The sequence below is a fragment of the Homo sapiens genome, chromosome 16, assembly GCF_000001405.40.
Source record: "Homo sapiens chromosome 16, GRCh38.p14 Primary Assembly".
Lineage (NCBI taxonomy): Eukaryota > Metazoa > Chordata > Mammalia > Primates > Hominidae > Homo > Homo sapiens.
Window position 1 is genome coordinate 74,926,340 of NC_000016.10, and position 18,480 is coordinate 74,944,819.

Consider the following 18,480-nt stretch of genomic DNA (forward strand, 5'->3'; position numbering starts at 1 on the left):
GAGCCACCGCGCCCAGCTGATGTATAATCATTGTTCCAGAGGAAAGGAAAGAGAAGGGATGAAACAGAAGTAATATTTGAAGACAGAATAAAGGTTGAAAATTTCCCCAAAGTGAGGATGGCCAACAAGCCACAGATGTAAGAAGTACTTTCCTCCTTCTTACAAAAGAAACCAGTTTTGATAATGGCCTTTAATAATCATAACCTTTTCTGTAGAAGGGGATGATCCACACGTGTACTCTCACACTGGCCTTCTCTGTTTCAAAACTTTTAGAGACTTAATAAAGTATAGGGATATATATTCAGGCCCAAAAATCTCTTACTAAACTTTAAAATATCAAAATGTTTTAAAACTGGTTTTACATTGTTTTAGAGCAAAAGAAGAGACTTTCCAAAGGTTTTGCTTGGTTTGGTTAATAACTTTGGGAATAAGCCTGAATGGAAATGGAAATGACTTGTCTGGAGTTTCATAACCTTCTGAAAAATTTAGAGTTCGAAGTGGGTGACTTTTTCTCCTCTCAAAAGAAAATGAGGATATCCCAAGGAAATATATAAATGAGCCAAGCTGGAATGCAAGGGAGAGTTCTATGTGCCAACAATGAGGTGTTAATAAATCTTAGAAGCTGTTCCTCTACTTAATGCACAATATGAATGAACAAGCATTACAGAGCACAGCACATATGAACGGGCAAACACCCAGCTGTAAAATCCTGCTTAGTTCCCCAGCCTGCCTGAGGGCTGGATGAGGTTCTTCCATTGAGTACGTGGGAAGAGATGAATGCAATCATTTCTGAGCAGAAGTGTTAGCATAATTTTGCCTATTTCCAAAAAAAAATTAATGATTTAGATTGAAAAGTTTAGATGGCATAACTGTTAAATTTAATGGCATCTCTGTTTTGATTCACTATGAAGACTAATAATCAAGTAGCTAAACATAAAATGAGAAAACTCAAGAATTTCTAGGAAGAAGCCAGGCACGGTGGCTCACACCTATAATCCCAGCACTTGGGAAGCTGAGGTAGGCAGATCACCTAAGGTCAGGAGTTAAAGACCACCCTGGCCAACATGGCAAAACCCCAACTCTACTAAAAATACACAAATTAGCCAGGCATGGTGGCACACGCCTGGAGTCCCAGCTACTTGCGAGGCTGAGGCAGGAGAATTGCTTGAACCCCGGAGGTGGAGGTTGCAGTGAGCTGAGACCGCGCCACTGCACTCCAGCCTGGGCAATAGAGCGAGACTCCATCTCAAAAAAAAAAAAAAAAAAAAGAATTTCCAGGAAGAAAATAAAAAAATAAAACTTCTAAAAAACTTCTGATGTTTTAGATTTGCTGCTCTTTAAAAAACACACACACACACACACACACACACACACACACAAAACTCAGCTTTCTCATTTTCAGTCCAAGGGACACACTTGGTGGCAGCAAGAGAAACTACTCCATGGCTGTTTTTTTCAAAAGATCGTTTCCATGTCACATGAGATGTGTATTTAAAGAACCAGATGCTGGACTTGAAGAGGAAGGTATCAAGGATTCCTTTTTTTCCCCTTTTCTTTATTCTTTCTTTCTTTTTTTTTTTTTTTTTTGAGACGGAGTCTTGCTCTGTTGCCAGGCTGGAGTGCAGTAGCGCGATCTCGGCTCACTGCAACCTCCGCCTCCCAAGTTCAAGCGAATCTCCTGCCTCAGCCTCCCGAGTAGCTGGAACTACAGGCATGCACCACCACGCCCAGCTAATTTTTGTATTTTTAGTAGAGACAGGGTTTCACCATGTTGGCCAGGATTAGCTCAATCTCTTGACATCGTGATCCACTCACCCCAGCCTCCCAAAGTGCTGGGATTACAGGTGTGAGCCACTGCATCCAGGTTTTTTTTTTTTTTTTTTTTGAGACAGAAGACAGAATCTCACTTTGCAGCCCAGGCTGAAGTATAGTGACAGGATTATGGCTCACTGTAGCCTTGACCTCCCCAGTTCAAGTGATCTTCCTGCCTCAGCAGCCTTGTGAGTAGATGGGACTACAAGGGCACACCACCACATCCGGCTAATTTTTTTTATTTTTCTATAGAGACGAGGTCTCCCTATGTTGCGCAGGCTGGTCTTGAACTCCTGGGCTCAAGTGATCTGCTTGCCTAAACCTCCCAAAGTGCTGAGATTACAGGTATGAGCCACTGCGCCCAGCTTTTTTCCCTGTTCTTGTAAGGCCAGATTTACCTTACGTGGGATAGCTACATTGAAAGAAGTTATGCAATTATCCTTAGTTTTATGTTAAAATACTCCAATGAAATGGGTGCACTGGCTCATGCCTGTAATCCCAGCACTTTGGGAGGCCAAGGCGGGCAGATCACTTGAGGTCAGGAGTTCGAGACCAGCCTGGTCACCATGGCGAAACCCTGTCTCAATTGAAAAAAGAAAATACAAAAATAATCCGGGTGTGGTGGTGTGCATCTGTAATCCCAGCTACTCAGGAAGCTGAGGCACAAGAATCGCTTGAACCCAGGAGGTGGAGGCTGCAGTGAGCTGAGATCACACCACTGCACTCCAGCCTGGATGATAGGGCGAGACTCTGTCTCAAAAAAAATAAAAGAGACAATACACAGAATGGGAGAAATGATCTGCAAACCATCTATGTGACAAGGGATTAATAACCAGAATATATAAGAATCTCAAACAACTCAATAGGAAAAAAATCTAATAATCCAATTAAAACATGGGCAAAAGATCTGAACAGACATCTCTCTTTTCTTTTCTTTTCTTGAGACGGAGTCTCACTCTGTCGCCCGGGCTGGAGTGCAGTGGTACAATCTCCGCTCACGGCAAGCTCGTCCTCCCGGGTTCATGCCATTCTCCTGCCTCAGCCTTCCGAATAGCTGGGACTACAGGCGCCCGCCACCATGCCCAGCTAATTTTTTTGTATTTTTAGTAGAGACGGGGTTTCACTGTGTTAGCCAGGATGGTCTCGATCTCCTGACCTCGTGATCCACCTGCCTCGGCCTCCCAAAGTGCTGGGATTATAGGCGTGAGCCACTGCGCCCGGCTGAACAGACATCTCTCAAAGGAAGACATACAAATGGCAAACAGTATATGAAAAGATGCTCAACATCACTGATCATCAGAGAAATGCAAATCAAAACTACAATGAGATATCATCTCACACCGATTAAAATGGCTGTTATCCAAAAGACAGGCAATAATGAACGCTGGCAAGGATGTGGAGAAAAGGGAATTCTCATACACTGTTGGTAGGAATGTAAATTAGTACGGCCACTATGGAGAACAGTATGGTGATTCCTCAAAAAACAAAGAATAGAACTATCATATGATCCAGCAACCCCACTGCTAGGTATACACCCCAAAGAAAAAAAACCAGTATAGCGAAGAGACATCTGCATGCCCATATTTATTGCAGTATTACTCACAATAGCCAAGGTCTAGAAGCAACCTAAATGTTCATCAACAGACAAACGGAAAAGAAAATGTAGTGCATATACACAATGGAGTACTATTCATCCATGAAAAAGAATGCAATCCTATCATTTACAACAACATGGAAGGAACTAGAGGACATTATGTTCAGTGAAACAAGCCAGGCACAGAAAAATAAACTTTGCATGTTCTCACTCATTTGTGGGAGCTAAAAATTAAAACAATTGAACTCATGAAGATAGAGAGCAGAATGATGGTTACCAGAGGCTGGGAAGCGTAGTGGGGTAGAGCGGGGGGAGCCAGAAGTGGGGATGGTTAATGGGTAGAAAAATATAGTTAGGCAGAATGAAAAAGAGCCAGTATTTGACAACACAACAGGGTGATTATAGTCAGTAATAATTTATTGTACATTTAAGAACAACTGAAAGGGTATGATTAGAATGTTTATAACAGAAAAAAATGATAAATGCTTGAGGTGATGGACACCCAATTTGCCCTAATGTGATTATTACTCATTATATGCCTGTATCAAAATATCTCATGTACCCCATACATATATACACCTACTAGCTACCCATAAATTTCTCTTTAAAAAATGGAAACAGTAAAACGAAAAACAGAACAAAACAAAAAACTCTCAAATCCTTGCTGAAGGTGTACCTCAGGGAAAAATCAGCAGTGAGTTAAATTAATGGCTGTGAATGGTAGAATATAAAATAAGAAGCTTGAAAACATGGTAAAAACAAAACACAAAAATCAAATAAAGAAAAATGGAAAAAAATTCCAGTACCTTGAAACAAACTTTATGAAAGTTTTTTTTAATTAATATATAAACACAGAAAAAAGTTCTGCCAGGAACGCTGGCTCACTCCTGTAACCCCACTACTTTGGGAGGTCAAGGTGGGTAGATCACCTGAGGTCAGGAGTTCGAGACCAGCCTGGCCAACATGGTGAAACTCTGTCTCTACCAAAAATACAAAAGCTAGCCAAGTGTGGTGGCACATACCTGTTATCCCAGCTACTAGGGCGGCTGAGGCAGGAGAATCATTTGAATCCAGGAGGAGGAGGTTGCAGTGAGCTGAGATTGTGCCACAACACTCTAGCCTGGATGACAGAGAGAGACTCCATCTCAAAAAAAAAAAAAAAAAAAAAACAGAAAAGAAAAGAAAAGAAAAAAGTTCAGGTAATGTCTCGGAGCAAGACTCCATCTCCAAAAAAAAAGGAAAAAGGGAAGAAAAAAGTTCAGGTAATGTTCTAATGAAGATGAATCCCTGGAGAAATCAGACTATGTAGTTTGATAATTTGGATTTATAAATATCTATGTGTGTTTTCCTGACTTTATCACAGTATAAACATTGATTTTTAACATACTATTCTAACTTAAATAAGCCTTGGGTTTATTTTCTCATGGAAAGCTTAATTAATTTAAACTTCCTAAATTATGTAACTATTTATATGAATTACAGGAGTTATCATTTCCACAAAATATTTAAAATTATTAAAATATAAAAATTACATTAAATCGAATGAATGAAAACAACTGATGCTTTTAAAAAAATGTTTGCTCTTATGAACTTTCTTTTTTCTTTTTTGAGAGATGGTATCCCTTTTTCAGGCAGGTTGGAGTGCAGCGGCACAATCTTGGCTCAATACAACCTCGACCTCTTGGGCTTGAGCTATTCTCCCACCTCTGCCTCCCAAGTAGCTGGGACTACAGGTGGTTGCTACCATGCCTGGCTAATTTTTTGCATTTGTTGCAGAGATGGGGTTTTGCCATGTTGCCCAGGCTGGTCTCAAACTCCTAAGTTCAAGCAATCTGCCCGCTTCAGCCTCCCAAAGTGCTGGGACTACAGGTATGAGTCACTGCACCCGGCTGAACTTTCTATAATAATAAGGATCACAAGAGCTGAGTCTACAGCCTGGTGAACATGGGGAGACCCATCTCTTAAAAAAACCTCAAAAATTAGCCAGGCATTGTGGCTTGCACCTGTAGTCCCAGCTACTCTGGAGGCTGACATGGGAAGATCGTTTGAGCCCAGGAGGCCAAGCCTGAAGTGAGCTGTGATTGTGCCATTGTATTCCAGCCTGGGTAACAGAGCAAGATCTTGTCTCAAAAAAAAAAGAACAACTTAGCTATTCCATTACAGTATCAAGGTAAATATGTTTAATATTTCTTTAACAAACTCTTAATATAAACTTTTGCTCCTGTGTTATAATATCAACTTAAATTATAATTTCAAAATCTTTAAGACCTTGAACTAATATTAATGAATAACCTTTGAATATATAATGTTTAAGCATAATTTTATATATACACATATATATATTTATTTTATTTATTTATTTTTTTAAGAGATAGGGTCTCACTCTTACCTAAACTGGAGTGCAGTGGTCTGATCACAGCTCATTGCAGCCTCAAACTCCTGGGCTCAAGCAATCCTCCTGCCTTAGCTTCCTGAGTAGCTGGGATGACAGGTGCATGCTACCAGCCCAGCTATTTTTTTATTTTTTAGAAACAGGGTCTCACTATGTTGTCCAGGCTCATTTCAAACTCCAGTCCTCAAGGGATCCTCCCACCTCGGCCTCTCAAAGTGCCAGGATTACAGGCATGAGCCACCATACCCAGCCAAGAGTATCTTTTGAAAATTGAGTCATGAAACATAATTTTTACACACACACACACACACACACACACACACACACACAACTATCCTGGCTCCTTATTTTGATACTATTTATTTATCTGAGACAGGGTCTCACTCTGTCACCCAGGTTGGAGTGCAGTGGTGTGATCACAGCTCACTGCAGCCTCAACCTCCTCGGCTCCAACAATCCTCCTACCTCAGCCTTATGGGTGGCTGAGACTACTGGTATGCACCATCACACCAAGGTAATTTGTTTATTTTTTGTAGAGATGGGGTTTCACTATGTTGGCCAGGCTGGTCTCCACCTCCTGGGCTCAAGTGATCCTCCCTCCTCAGACTCCCAAAGTGCTGGGATTACAGGGGTGAGCCACCATGCCCAGTCTTGATTGTTTATTGATTGTCCAGTTAATAGGGTGAAAGGATTTACAAATACCTTTCGATCACATTAGTATACATGCTTACTTCTGCTGCCTTAAAAATGTCAAATGTTATCTATGATTGTAAGAGGATGTGTTTGCAAGATAATACATGTGTTTCTTGATTTATCAAGGAGAAAAATGGAATAATTTCGCCTTATATATTACATGTTGACAAAGCTGGCCAAATGTTATGGATTTTCTTGTAAAAAATGCCTTGTGGAAAAGATTTTTGTGCAAAACATTATATGGATAGTACACAAAAGGAATAAAATTAAAATGCCAGCCTGGGCAACATAGCAAGACCCTACCTCTACAAAAAAAACAAAATAATTTGACATGGTGGCATACACCTGTAGTCCTAGCAACTTCAGAGGCTGAGGTGGGAGGATCACTTGAGCCCAGGAGTTCAAGGCTGCAGTGAGCTGTGATCATGCCACTTGGAGTGCAGCCTGGGTGACACAGTGAGATCCTGTCTCTAAAAAAGAAAAATCACACCTAAAATGTAGGTTTTATTTCCATTTAAACAGCAACTGATCTCTGAGCACATCATTTGTTTAAAACAGTAAAAACTCAGTCTACACCTAGAGAGCAGAGATTCACCAAAATACTGTTACTTTTTGTGTTTTTCATAAAGCTCATGAATCATATGCCTAAATCCCTTGTTTTTTAAAAATGCTACCATTCTTAATAATTTTTATCACTTACTGCTGTATTTAACTTTAGTTTCACTATATATCAAGACTGCAATCATTTCTTATCTTTATTTATTTATTTATTGAGATGGAGTTTAGCTCTTGTCGCCCAGGCTGGAGTGCATGTGGCATGATCTCAGCTCACTGCAACCTCCACCTCCCAGGTTCAAGCGATTCTCCTGCCTCAGCCACCCAACTAGCTGGGATTACAGGCTGCACCACCACACCAAGCTAATTTTGTAATTTTAGTAGAGATGGAGTTACACCATGTTAGTGGGGCTAGTCACGAACTTCTGACCTCAGGCGATCCACCCGCCTCGGCCTCCCAAAGTGTTGGGATTACAGGCGTGAGCCACCGCACCAGCCATTTCTTATCTTTAGACCCTTATATAACAACTCTTTTTTGCCAAATTCAGGTCCTATGTTCAAAATAATAAAATGGTCAAGATGTCTTTTCAGCTTAAACTACTTTTGGGTTTCCCACATGGCCACAGGGTAAACTATAATTCGCCCCTCAACTTATAAAAGGAATGATACTCAAAATAATTAGATATGCTTGTCATTCTGCAGATTTTTAATGAGCTCTACACTGTGCATGCCTCCCTATTATCAAATCCACAGTATGTGGAAAGCTAGCAAAGAAAAGTTCAGCCTCCCCAGATTAATTATATACAAGTAAAATGTTGTTAATATGAATACATTTCAGCAACTGTTTACTTTTCAATTTGGATAGAAACATATTCACGTTCATGCATAAAGACTGGCATATAACTGTTAGCAAGATTAATCCTTTTTTTTTAAGAAAAAAAGAAAGATTTTGTTTCTAGATTTAAATATGTTCACCAACTGGTGACAATTATACAATTTATGGGATTAATTAGAGGACCCTGGAGATTTGATAATATCCTCACTGTTCATAACATGCTCTTGCTCTCAAGGCAATCACTGATGCAGTCTTATAAAACGATTATATGTCATTTGCAAACAGAAGACTTCATTCTATTTCAATCTGATACAGGTAGTTATTATAAATTAACCGGAGCCATTCCATCCCCCCATTCACAGATAATTTCTCCTTTTCATTTACCCTTTTCTAAGGGTCCCTGCTACAAGCTACAGATCAGAAAAAAGTCCTCTGAAGAAATATCAGGGGCCAGGTGTGGCTCACGCCTGTAATCCCAACACTTTGGGAGGCTGAAGCAGGAAGACTGCTTGAGCCCAGGAGTTCAAAACCAGCCTGGGCAAGACAGTGAAACAAAATATATATTTGTTCTTTATATATAGATATATACATATCTATATAGACAAAGAGAAATATAAAGAAATATCAGAAGAGCCTTGGTCAAAAAAGAACCAGGTTTCCTTGAGGGTTGATGTCCTAGGAAACAGACTCAAAGCTACATGTTTCTCACCAGAATGTAGCAAGGGTGGTCGGGCATGGTGGCTCATGCCTATAATCCCAGCACTTTGGGAGGCCGAGACAGGGAGAATGCTTGAGGTCAGGAGTTTGAAACCAGCCTGGCAAACATGGTGAAATTCCATCTCTACTAAAAATACAAAAATTAGCCTGGCATGTTGGTGCACCCTTGTAATCCCAGCTACTGAGGGAGGCTGAGACATGAGAATTGCTTGAACCTGGGAGGCAGAGGCTGCAGCGAGCCAAGATCACACCACTGCAATCGAGCCTGGGCAACAGAGCAAGACTCTGTCTCAAAAAAAAAAGAATGTACCAAGTGACTATGTCTGGATTTCCAGGACTCTCTTTGTCTAGAAGGCAGCAATTTTGTGAAATAGGCTGCTGTTAACCCAAGATCAGGGAAAAAAAAAGATTATGTAAAATGATATAAACTCATTTAATTGTAGTTAATGTTCTATTTCTAAGGGCCACATAAGAAAAATTCTTTTCTTTCTTCTTGATCTATCCCTAACCTTCAACTCAATTGTTTTGTAGTTAAATAATTTATAAACTGAAGTGAAATACACATTTAGTGATACCTTGCTCCAGCTGACCCCTTAGAATTTAGAAAATAAAAATATAATAAAAATAATTAATATAAATTATGAGCTAATAAATTGTCATATAAACTTAAAAATGATTATGTAGAAAAATTACACATATTGGTCCTTATCTACTAAAAAAATGGTTGAATGTTATGCAAAGTCCCTTTTCTAAGTTTCTTCACTTTTTATGATCATGCTATTTACATACATTCAATAAAAATTGTCTTGCTAGCACTGTGGGAGGCCAAGGCAGGTAGAGCACAAGGTCAAGAGATTGAGACCATCCTGGCCAACATGGTGAAACCCCATCTCTACTAAAAACACAAAAGTTAGCTGGACATGGTGGCATGCACCTATAATCCCAGCTGCTCAGGAGGCTGAGGCAGGAGAATCGCTTGAACCTGGGAGACGGAGGTTGCAGTGAGCCGAGATCGCGCCACTGCACTCCAACCCGGGTGACAGAGCAAGACTCCACCTCAAAAAAAAAAAAAAAATTGTCTTCCTTCTAGGATATAGTGGAATAAATCAAATACCATGCCAAAAATCTCATTTCATTAATAAGCTAAGCCTGCTGGTAAAGAACAGAGAAGACTTTGTATGGGGAAATAATGCCCCAGCCTCCCAAAGTGCTGGGATTATAGGCATGAGCCACCATGCCCGACCACCCTTGGTACATTCTGGTGAGAAACACGTAGCTTTGAGTCTGTTTCCTAGGACATCAACCCTCAAGGAAACCTGGTTCTTTTTTGACCAAGGCTCTTCTGATATTTCTTTATATTTCTCTTTGTCTATATAGATATGTATATATCTATATATAAAGAAAAAATATATAAAGTCCTCCCAGGAAACTGGCTGTTACCTGCTTTATTACCTAGGAAACCCCAGACTCACAGGTAGGAAAGATGACACTGAGTATCAACAAACTTGGGCATCTCATAGAAAGAGGTAGAGTTGAACTGGATGGCTTCTGGTTCCTGAACTTGGGAGACAAGCTGATTGGGGTACAGGGACAGAAACCCAAATGCAGCCGGGCATGGTAGCTCATGCCTGTAATCCCAGCACTTTGGGAGGCCGAGATGGGCGGATCACTTGAGGTTAGGAGTTCGAGACCATCCTGGCCAACATGGTTAAACCCTGTCTGTACTAAAAATACAAAAATTAGCCAGGCATGATGGCGTGCATCTGTAATCCCAGCTACTCAGGAGGCTGAGGCAGGAGAATCGCTTGAACCCAGGAGCGGAGGTTGCAGTGAGCCGAGATCACACCACTGCACTCCAGCCTGGGTGACAAAGTGAGACCCAGTCTCAAAAAATAAATAAATAAATAAAAACAAAAAATCAAACGTAATACGAACGAACAAACAAAAAAGTCACATCTGACACATTAAAAATAACTTACAACCCTAAGAGATTTACAAACTTCAAGACAGGAGTTAACTTTTAACTTAGTATATGACTGTAGTTTTGCTAATCATACCACAAAGATGTCATATATGACTATATAAATACAACAAAGCATTAAATAAATGACACTGAATCATAAAATTGCTAAACCAATTTCTGTGGTCAAACCCCTGTCCTCAGAGACCTGACCACAAGGAGGAACTACTGGAACAAAGATGACTCTGCCCTGCCATCATTCTGACCAAGGGTGAACATCCCATGTCACAGAGAGGAAAGACAAACAAACAACACTGTACCTTGTGATAAACCAGAAATAATCGGGTTACTGAAACACATAAAATCTTGAGCATTTCCTGTAAGTTAGAGAATCACTAATAAAATGACTCTATCCCTGAACTGTGAAATGCTGATGCCTGAAAACGTCAGAACTTTCTACATACGATAAGCATGTGAGGGAGCAGCTGTTTTTCCACCAGGAATAGACTAATTGTAAACTTTGAAACCTTAACAACTGTAGACTTTTCTCCTTTACTTATATCTGTCATACATATCTGACTTCCTTGCAGCTTCTTCGCAAGGGAACCTCTTTCCCTTTCTTGAGGCAGAGGCTCGCTCGGTCGCCCAGGTTGGAGTGCAGTGGATCAATCTCAGCTCAATGCAACCTTTGCCTCCCAGGTTCAAGCGATTCTTGTGTCTCAGCCTCCCAAGTAGATGGAATTACAGGTGTGCGCCACCACACCCAGCTAATTTTTGTATTTTTAGTAGAGACTAGGTTTCACCATATTGGCCAGGCTGGTCTTGAACTCCTGACCTTAAGTGATCTGCCTGCCTCAGCCTCCCAAAGTGCTGGGATTACAGGTGTGAGCCACCATGCCCGGCCAACTTCTTTCCCTTTCTAAGTACTTTTGTCTCTGACTTCCTTTCACAAAGGGAAAGACGAAAACCTTCTGAACAAATTCTAAGAGACGTATCAGAGGAGATGCTATGGCATGTCACTCTGCCATCATAACACAATGTGGTTATGCTGAACAGCACCATGCTGGGTCTCGCTCTGTCGCATTTTGCTGGTCAGCATAACCAAATTTATGTGTTCAGTTGCCCAAGAAGCACATGCACCGTGAAATACATACTGTGCTAACACACTGCAGCTTTCCAACCAAGGTGGAATCATACATCCCTGATGCCACCCAAACACTGCTCCTCCAACTTCCCCATGGGTGCCACTGACCTTCACAGAATTGTCTTGACTGGAGGTAGCAAGAATGTGCTCGCTGTCTGGGTGCCAGTCCAGGCCATGGATTTTGGAGAGGTGGGCGGCTAGATATTCCACTGCTGTACTGGGTTTCTGCAACAGATCAGCACCTAATATTATCGATTTAGAAAGAACTCTTTGAGTGTCTATCACGTAAAAGTCTGCTAGGTAGTGAGTGAGGATGCAAAAATACTACCAGATACTGTCTCTACCCTACACAGACTTTGTTTGTTTTGGTTAAGCCAAACAAAACACCATCACCAAAAGACTTATCCAACGCTCCTTCACATGCTCTGAAAATGCGCCTGTGAGCCTCGTTTCTTCCCACTTCAATGAAGGATACAAGGTAGTAGGTGCTTTTCACCCCCTTTTTTGTTTTTTGAGACGAAGTCTTGCTCTGTCACCCAGGTTGGAGTGCAGTGGCACGATCACAGCTCACTGCAGCCTCAACTTCCTGGGCTCAAGCAGTCCTCCCACCTCAGCCCTCCAAGTAGCTGGGACTACAGGTGCACACCACTAAGCCTGGCTAATTTTTTTGTATTTTTTCTAGAGATGGGGTTTTGCATGTTGTCCAGGCTGGTCTTGAACTCCTGGGCTCAAGCGAACCCCCTGCTTTGGCCTCCCAAAGTGTCTGGATTACAGGCACGATCCACTGTGCCCGGCCTCACACTTTAACAGTGCAGTCTGACAATTCCCACTCGTCTCCCCCATGATCACCCAAGAAGAGAGACTGAGACATCCAAATGGACTCAGCTTCAACAAGAGGGTAAAACCATGCATCTTAAAGTGATGGAGCACTAAGATTCCAAAGGAGAATGAATGTACATCACAAAAAAAAACAATACATGATTAATAAGCATAGAAAATAAACAGGCCGGGCACGGTGGCTCATGCCTGTAATTCCAGCACTTTGGGAGGCCAAGGTGGGTGGATCACCTGAGGTCAGGAGTTTGTGACCAGTCTGGCCAACATGGTGAAGCTGGTCTCGAACTCCTGGCCTCAAGCAATCCTCTTGCCATGGCCTCCCAAAGTGCTGGGATTACAGGTTTGAGCCACTTTTCCCAGCCCAAAATTTTTCCTGTCTTAAGGGAATAATCCAAACTCACAAAAAGCTTTAGATATAAAAGAAGTTCATCTTGGTGTTATCTGAAACACTAGAAAACCAGAAAAAAAACCTAAATGATCAACAAATGGGAAATAATGAAGCTGAATCAATATACTACAGCTATGCGACACCAAATGATGATACAATATGATGTAGCCACTGAAAATTATACTTAGAGCTTATAGTACGAGGATAATGCATCTGTTCTAATGTTAAATGAAAAAAAAGTGTACACAACTACGTACACAGTACGACAAACTAAGTTTAAAAAAAAAAAGCATAAGAACAGAAAACACCAAAATGTTAGCATTTGTCTCTGGGTAGTAGGATTATGAATGATTTTTATTTTTTCATTTATATTTTCTACAGAGAGCATGTATTACTTCCATAATTAGCATTAGTCTATGAGGATAAGAGTGCAGTCTCCAGGCTGGGTGGAGTGGCTCACACCTATAATCCCAGTGTTCTGGGAGGCCAAGGCAGGAGGATGACTTGAGACCAAAAGTCAAGACCAGCCTGGGCAACACAGTAAGATTCCCATCTCTACAAGAAAAAAATTTTTTTAATTACCTCATCATAGTGGTGCATACCTGCAGTCCCAGCTACTCAGCTGGGAGGATCACTTGAGTCCAGGAGTTTGAGGCTGCAGTGAGCTATGATTGTGCAACTGCACTCCAACCTGGGAGACAGAGGGAGACTGTCTCAAAAACAAAAAACAGAGAGCAGTCTCTAGAACCAGCCTGCCTGGGTTCAAATTTTGGCAGCAAATTTGCTTCAGTTTACTCATCTGTAAAAAAGGGATAATAATAGCACACACTGGCCAGGCGCAGTGGCTCACGCCTGTAATCCCAGCACCTTGGGAGGCAAAGGCGGATGGATCACCTGAGGTCAGGAGTTCAAGACCAGCCTGACCAACACGGTGAAACCCTGTCTCTACTAAAAATAAAAAAATTAGCCAGGCGTGGTGGTGGGCACCTGTAATCCCAGCTACTCGGGAGGCTGAGGCAGGAGAATCGCTTGAACCTGGGAGGTGGAGGTTGCAGTGAGCCAAGAATGCGCCATTGCACTCCAGCCTGGGCAACAGAGTGAGACTCTGTCTCCCAAAAAAAAAAAAACAACAACAAAAACAAACAAACAAAAACATGTACTTTAAAGGCTAATTATAAAGAGATATTAATCAATAAATGTAAAACTCTTAAAAGAAGGCCTATGTACAATAAATGCTCAGTAAATGTTAATATGATAGTCATACATGAGTCTGGATTAAAATCCACTGTTAGCACTGACACTGAACTTTGTGAAGTCTGTAATGCTTGCTGCCATCAGTGCTGCTTTGACACTACAAAGTGCCAGAGAAGTGAAAATATAATCAACAAGTTCTACAACTCACCTGAGCAGAAGTCCTAAGTATCATTATTTTAATTTTATTTATTTATTTAATTTTTGAGACGGAGTCTTGCTCTGTCATCCAGGCTGGAGTGCAGTGGCGCGATCTCGGCTCACTGCAAGCTCCGCCTCCCGGGTTCAAGCGATTCTCCTGCCTCAGCCTCCCGAGTAGCTGGGACTACAGGCGCCCGCCATCACGCCCAGCTAAATTTTGTATTTTTAGTACAGACGGGGTTTCACCATGTTAGCCAGGATGGTCTCGATCTCCTGACCTCGTGATCCACCCGCCTCAGCCTCCCAAAGTGCTGGGATTACAGGTGTGAGCCACCGCGCCCAGCCGAAAATGCTGTTATAGTGACAAACTGAATAAAACCAATCACTAGTTAGGAAATAAAGAAGGCCAGGAGCAGTGGCTCATGTCTGTAATCCCAGCACTTTGGGAGGCTGAGGTGGGAGGATCGCTTGACCCCAGGAGTTCGAGGTCAGCTTCAGCAACCTTGTCTCTACAAAAAAAAAATTTTTTTTAATTGGCTGGGTGTGGTGGCATGTACCTGTAGTCCCAGTTACTCAGGAGGCTGAAGCAGGAGAATAGCTTGAGCCCAAGAGGTCGAGGCTGCAGTGAGCCATAGTTACACTACTACACTCCAGTCTGGGTGACAGAATGAGGCTCCATCTCAAAAAAAAAAAAAAAGAAGGGGAAAATGGCCATAAAGGAACAGAAGACAAAAACTAACATATAGAAGATGTGGCCAGGCGTGGTGGCTCACGCCTATAATCCCAGCACTTTGGGAGGCCGAGGTGGGCAGATCACTTGAGGTCGGGAGTTCAAGACCATCCTGGCCAACATGTGAAACCCCATCTCTACTAAAAAATACAAAAATTAGCTGGGCGTGGTGGTGTGCACCTATAGTCCCAGCTACTGGGGAGGCTGAGGCAGGAGAATTGCTTGAACCTGGGAGGCGTAGGTTGCAGTGAGCCAAGGTCCCCACTGTACTCCAGCCTGGACGACAGAATGAGACTCTGTCTCAAGAAAAAAAAAAAAAAGAAGATGCACCTGCCCAACCTCTATGAAATCACCTTCTCACCTAAGAGCTATCTAAGGCAGAGGGCTTCTGCCACATAAGGCTTCCCCAGCATGTCCTGGAGCCTAATGCAGCAGACAGGATCTGCCACGCCTGATCTCTGCTCCACTTCTCGCTTCTCTTCCAAACGTATGGAGGGAAGGGAGCAGCCGGAAGATAAGACAGTGGGGACATCCCTGAACAAGCCATCCCCACAATGCCTGAGCATCTGTAGCCCCAGGTCTCACAGGCAGGAAGCAGGATTTACACCCAGGTCTCATGGCAGTGATGGCTCTGTTCATTATTACCTAACAGTCTGGCAGTCAATGCAGGGGAGGCCTTTTCCCTGTGCCACGACCCTCACTGAGGCCAACACAATCAACTTCAGTAGACTTTCCATTACAGCCACAGCCAAGGACCCAGCACTGTTTCCATCTCTAGGTGTCCATGGGCTGCTGCAGTAAGAACGTATGAGTGATATGCACAATACTTTGAGGCTGATGGGATGTCTAGGCTTGTAAGAGTAAATGTAAGCATCATGAGCACCCTACCTTGCTCATCGTTATTGGAAGTATTCAGGATGGCAGGCATCCGAGAACAAATACATTTCACTTTGCAAGCAGGGGCAGGGATAAGAAGCCTGCTGACAATTCTAGAATAGCGCCTGGGCTCCACGGCTTAACCCCACTGACACACACACTGTTAGTGTCTTTATTTTGAAGGAAACTGAGGTTAAGAGAAGTGACGGTGGCTTACCTGGTGTCATAATTAGGAGGTGGCAAAATGGAGCTGATTTTTTCAACCACTGTTCCTAATGTCTCACTTCCCTAGTTTCCTTCAACACTGGATTGAGACGCAAATATCGTCTGGTACTATGAGCTTAAAATGGTCATTTACCATGCTGCACAGGGTTCCCCAGACTCTCAAGCCAAGTCCTGGCACTCATAAAATCATCTTCACACCCTCTGGGAGGGATCAAAGACCAATAAGGGCGAAAAAAGAGATTACTCACCCTCTTATCCCATATCCGCACATCGCCGTCATGGCTGGTGGCAAGGCAGTTAGCATTTTTTTTATTCCATTTGACCTGGGAGGCACCCGCTGCAAAGAAAAATCAGGGAAGAAAGCTGCTGCCCTTGGTGCTTTCGGAAGCAGAGCAGAGCACAGCCAGGGGAGCTGGATAATGAGTTCTGGCTGAATAAGCCCAGAACCCTTCAAGTTTCTGTGACTGCACCAACTCCACTATTCCAGATAAAATGAAGCCAAAAAATAAATGAATTAACACATGGGAACAGGATCATAGTCACCTAATTGAGGAAATAATCTCAGGGGAAAAAATCTACAGGTCACTCTGAGCAGAATCAGCAGGAAAACATAGTTTCTTACAGAGCAGTAGTTGAGCATGGCACTGCTGGCTAGTAATTGACTTGTCACACAACCTGACCCTTTCTCATCCCCAAATGACACCTGCTCGCACTCCTAATTAGAACAGCCTCAGCTGTTATGCCTGCCCCCTTTTTTTTTTTTTTAATTGTTGAGCAATAGTCTTAGAAAAACACAGCCTTAGCTGAAGACCAGCTACAGAATAAGCCCCGATGTTGACCAATTCTGTCCTAAGGGTTACATGCTCCCCGCACCCCACTCCCCATCAGCTATGTCAGCCGTGGCCACTGGCACCACACTGATAAGGGAAAGGGAACACCCTTGGCAGTATGTGACCTCAGTCCTTTTCCCTCTCTGCCAATACAGAGTGTCATTGATACATTAGTGACAAAAGGGCTACTTAAGACAGGAGGCATAATGTGAGATGCCAGAAAGAGCTGAGACATGGAAAACTGGGACACAGTGGCACCTCTAGCTGACTTTTAAAAAATAAATCATTAATCAAGAACCAAACCAGAACTGAAGTGACAGCACTCCTTCCTGTCTCCTCCTGCCCTTGCTCACAGCACACATGACATTACTGCTGTGACACCTGTCCCTCTGCCTGGTGTTTATTACTGAGGAAGCCCATAGTAGATCCACAGCTTTGGGGAGCTACTTGATCCAAGAAGTCCAGAGTAGGACAGAGCAATGACTCAGAATCTAACAGGACATACAGCATTAAGCCCAGAACTTGGTCCTGTCCAAGGATATGCTGTGTTGGTTTTGATGACACTATTTGTCTGTCTTGTTCTTTCTTGAGACATAAGGTATCTTATGTCATCTAGAACAAATGGTGGAGACCAGTGAAGATGAAGCAAGGAAGAGTATTAGGAGGTGGCTTCTTCGCACGGAAGGATATCAGCTGGAGGAGAAAGTGAGTGAGAAGAGCTTGCTCTACCTCCTTGACAGAGTTACTTAAGAGTCCAAGAGAACACACCTTTCCCAGTGGGGAGGCATCAGAACTCGAGGGCTCCCAAGGGACTCTGGGAAGCCCCCTCAATGCAACCTGCTTTATCAAGATCATTATACCAGAGGCCAGGCGCAGTGGCTTGCACCTATAATCCCAGCACTTTGGAAGGCTGAGACAGGCGGATTACCTGAGGTCAGCAGTTCAAGACCAGCCTGGCAAACATGGCAAAACGCTGTTTCTACTAAAAATACAAAAATTAGCCAGGTGTGGTGGCGTGCACCTGTAATCCCAGCTACTTGGGAGACTGAGGCAGGAGAATTGCTTGAACCTAGTAGGGGGAGGTTGCAGTGAGCTAAGACTGCACCACTGCACTCAGGCCTGGGCAACAGAGCAAGACTGTCTCAAAAAAAAAAAAAAAAAATCATTACACCAGGGTCGAATGGAGGTCCCGGGCTATGAGAACTCTCAGACACAGAGAACACTCTGGAATACTCACAACGTGACTCCCTATCCCAAAGGGCATGAATAATGTGCCCCCTGAGAGATGGGGACCACAGGCTCTGGGAAGCAGGCAGTACCCGAGGCTGTACCACTCGGGGTATGCTAGATCCAGCAGCTTATCAAGGTCCACAAGCCTCTCACTTGCCTCTTTTCCCCCAGGGTAGATCTGCACCACTGAGAAACCTCACTGAGTACAAAGGAAAGAAGTCTTCTACTTCCATTTTTTAAGAAAGATCTATAACAGAAAAAAAAGCAATG

The 18,480-nt window shown here is 42.8% G+C and overlaps 1 protein-coding gene across 10 annotated transcripts in view; it reads right to left on the reverse strand.

Moving 5' to 3' along the window:
* WDR59 (WD repeat domain 59) overlaps nucleotides 1-18,480 on the reverse strand; it is a 113,762-nt gene that overhangs the window by 54,978 nt on the left and 40,304 nt on the right. For all 10 annotated transcript variants that reach the window (XR_007064915.1, XM_047434642.1, XM_047434640.1 and 7 more), the window contains 2 exons: nucleotides 16,399-16,487; nucleotides 11,811-11,927 (listed from right to left, as the gene is read on the reverse strand). Coding sequence is in view for 6 of the 10 variants with exons in the window: in XM_047434639.1 (XP_047290595.1) it covers nucleotides 11,811-11,927; nucleotides 16,399-16,487 (206 nt within the window). In the remaining 4 variants the exon portion in view is untranslated. The remainder of the gene's footprint in view (nucleotides 1-11,810; nucleotides 11,928-16,398; nucleotides 16,488-18,480) is intronic.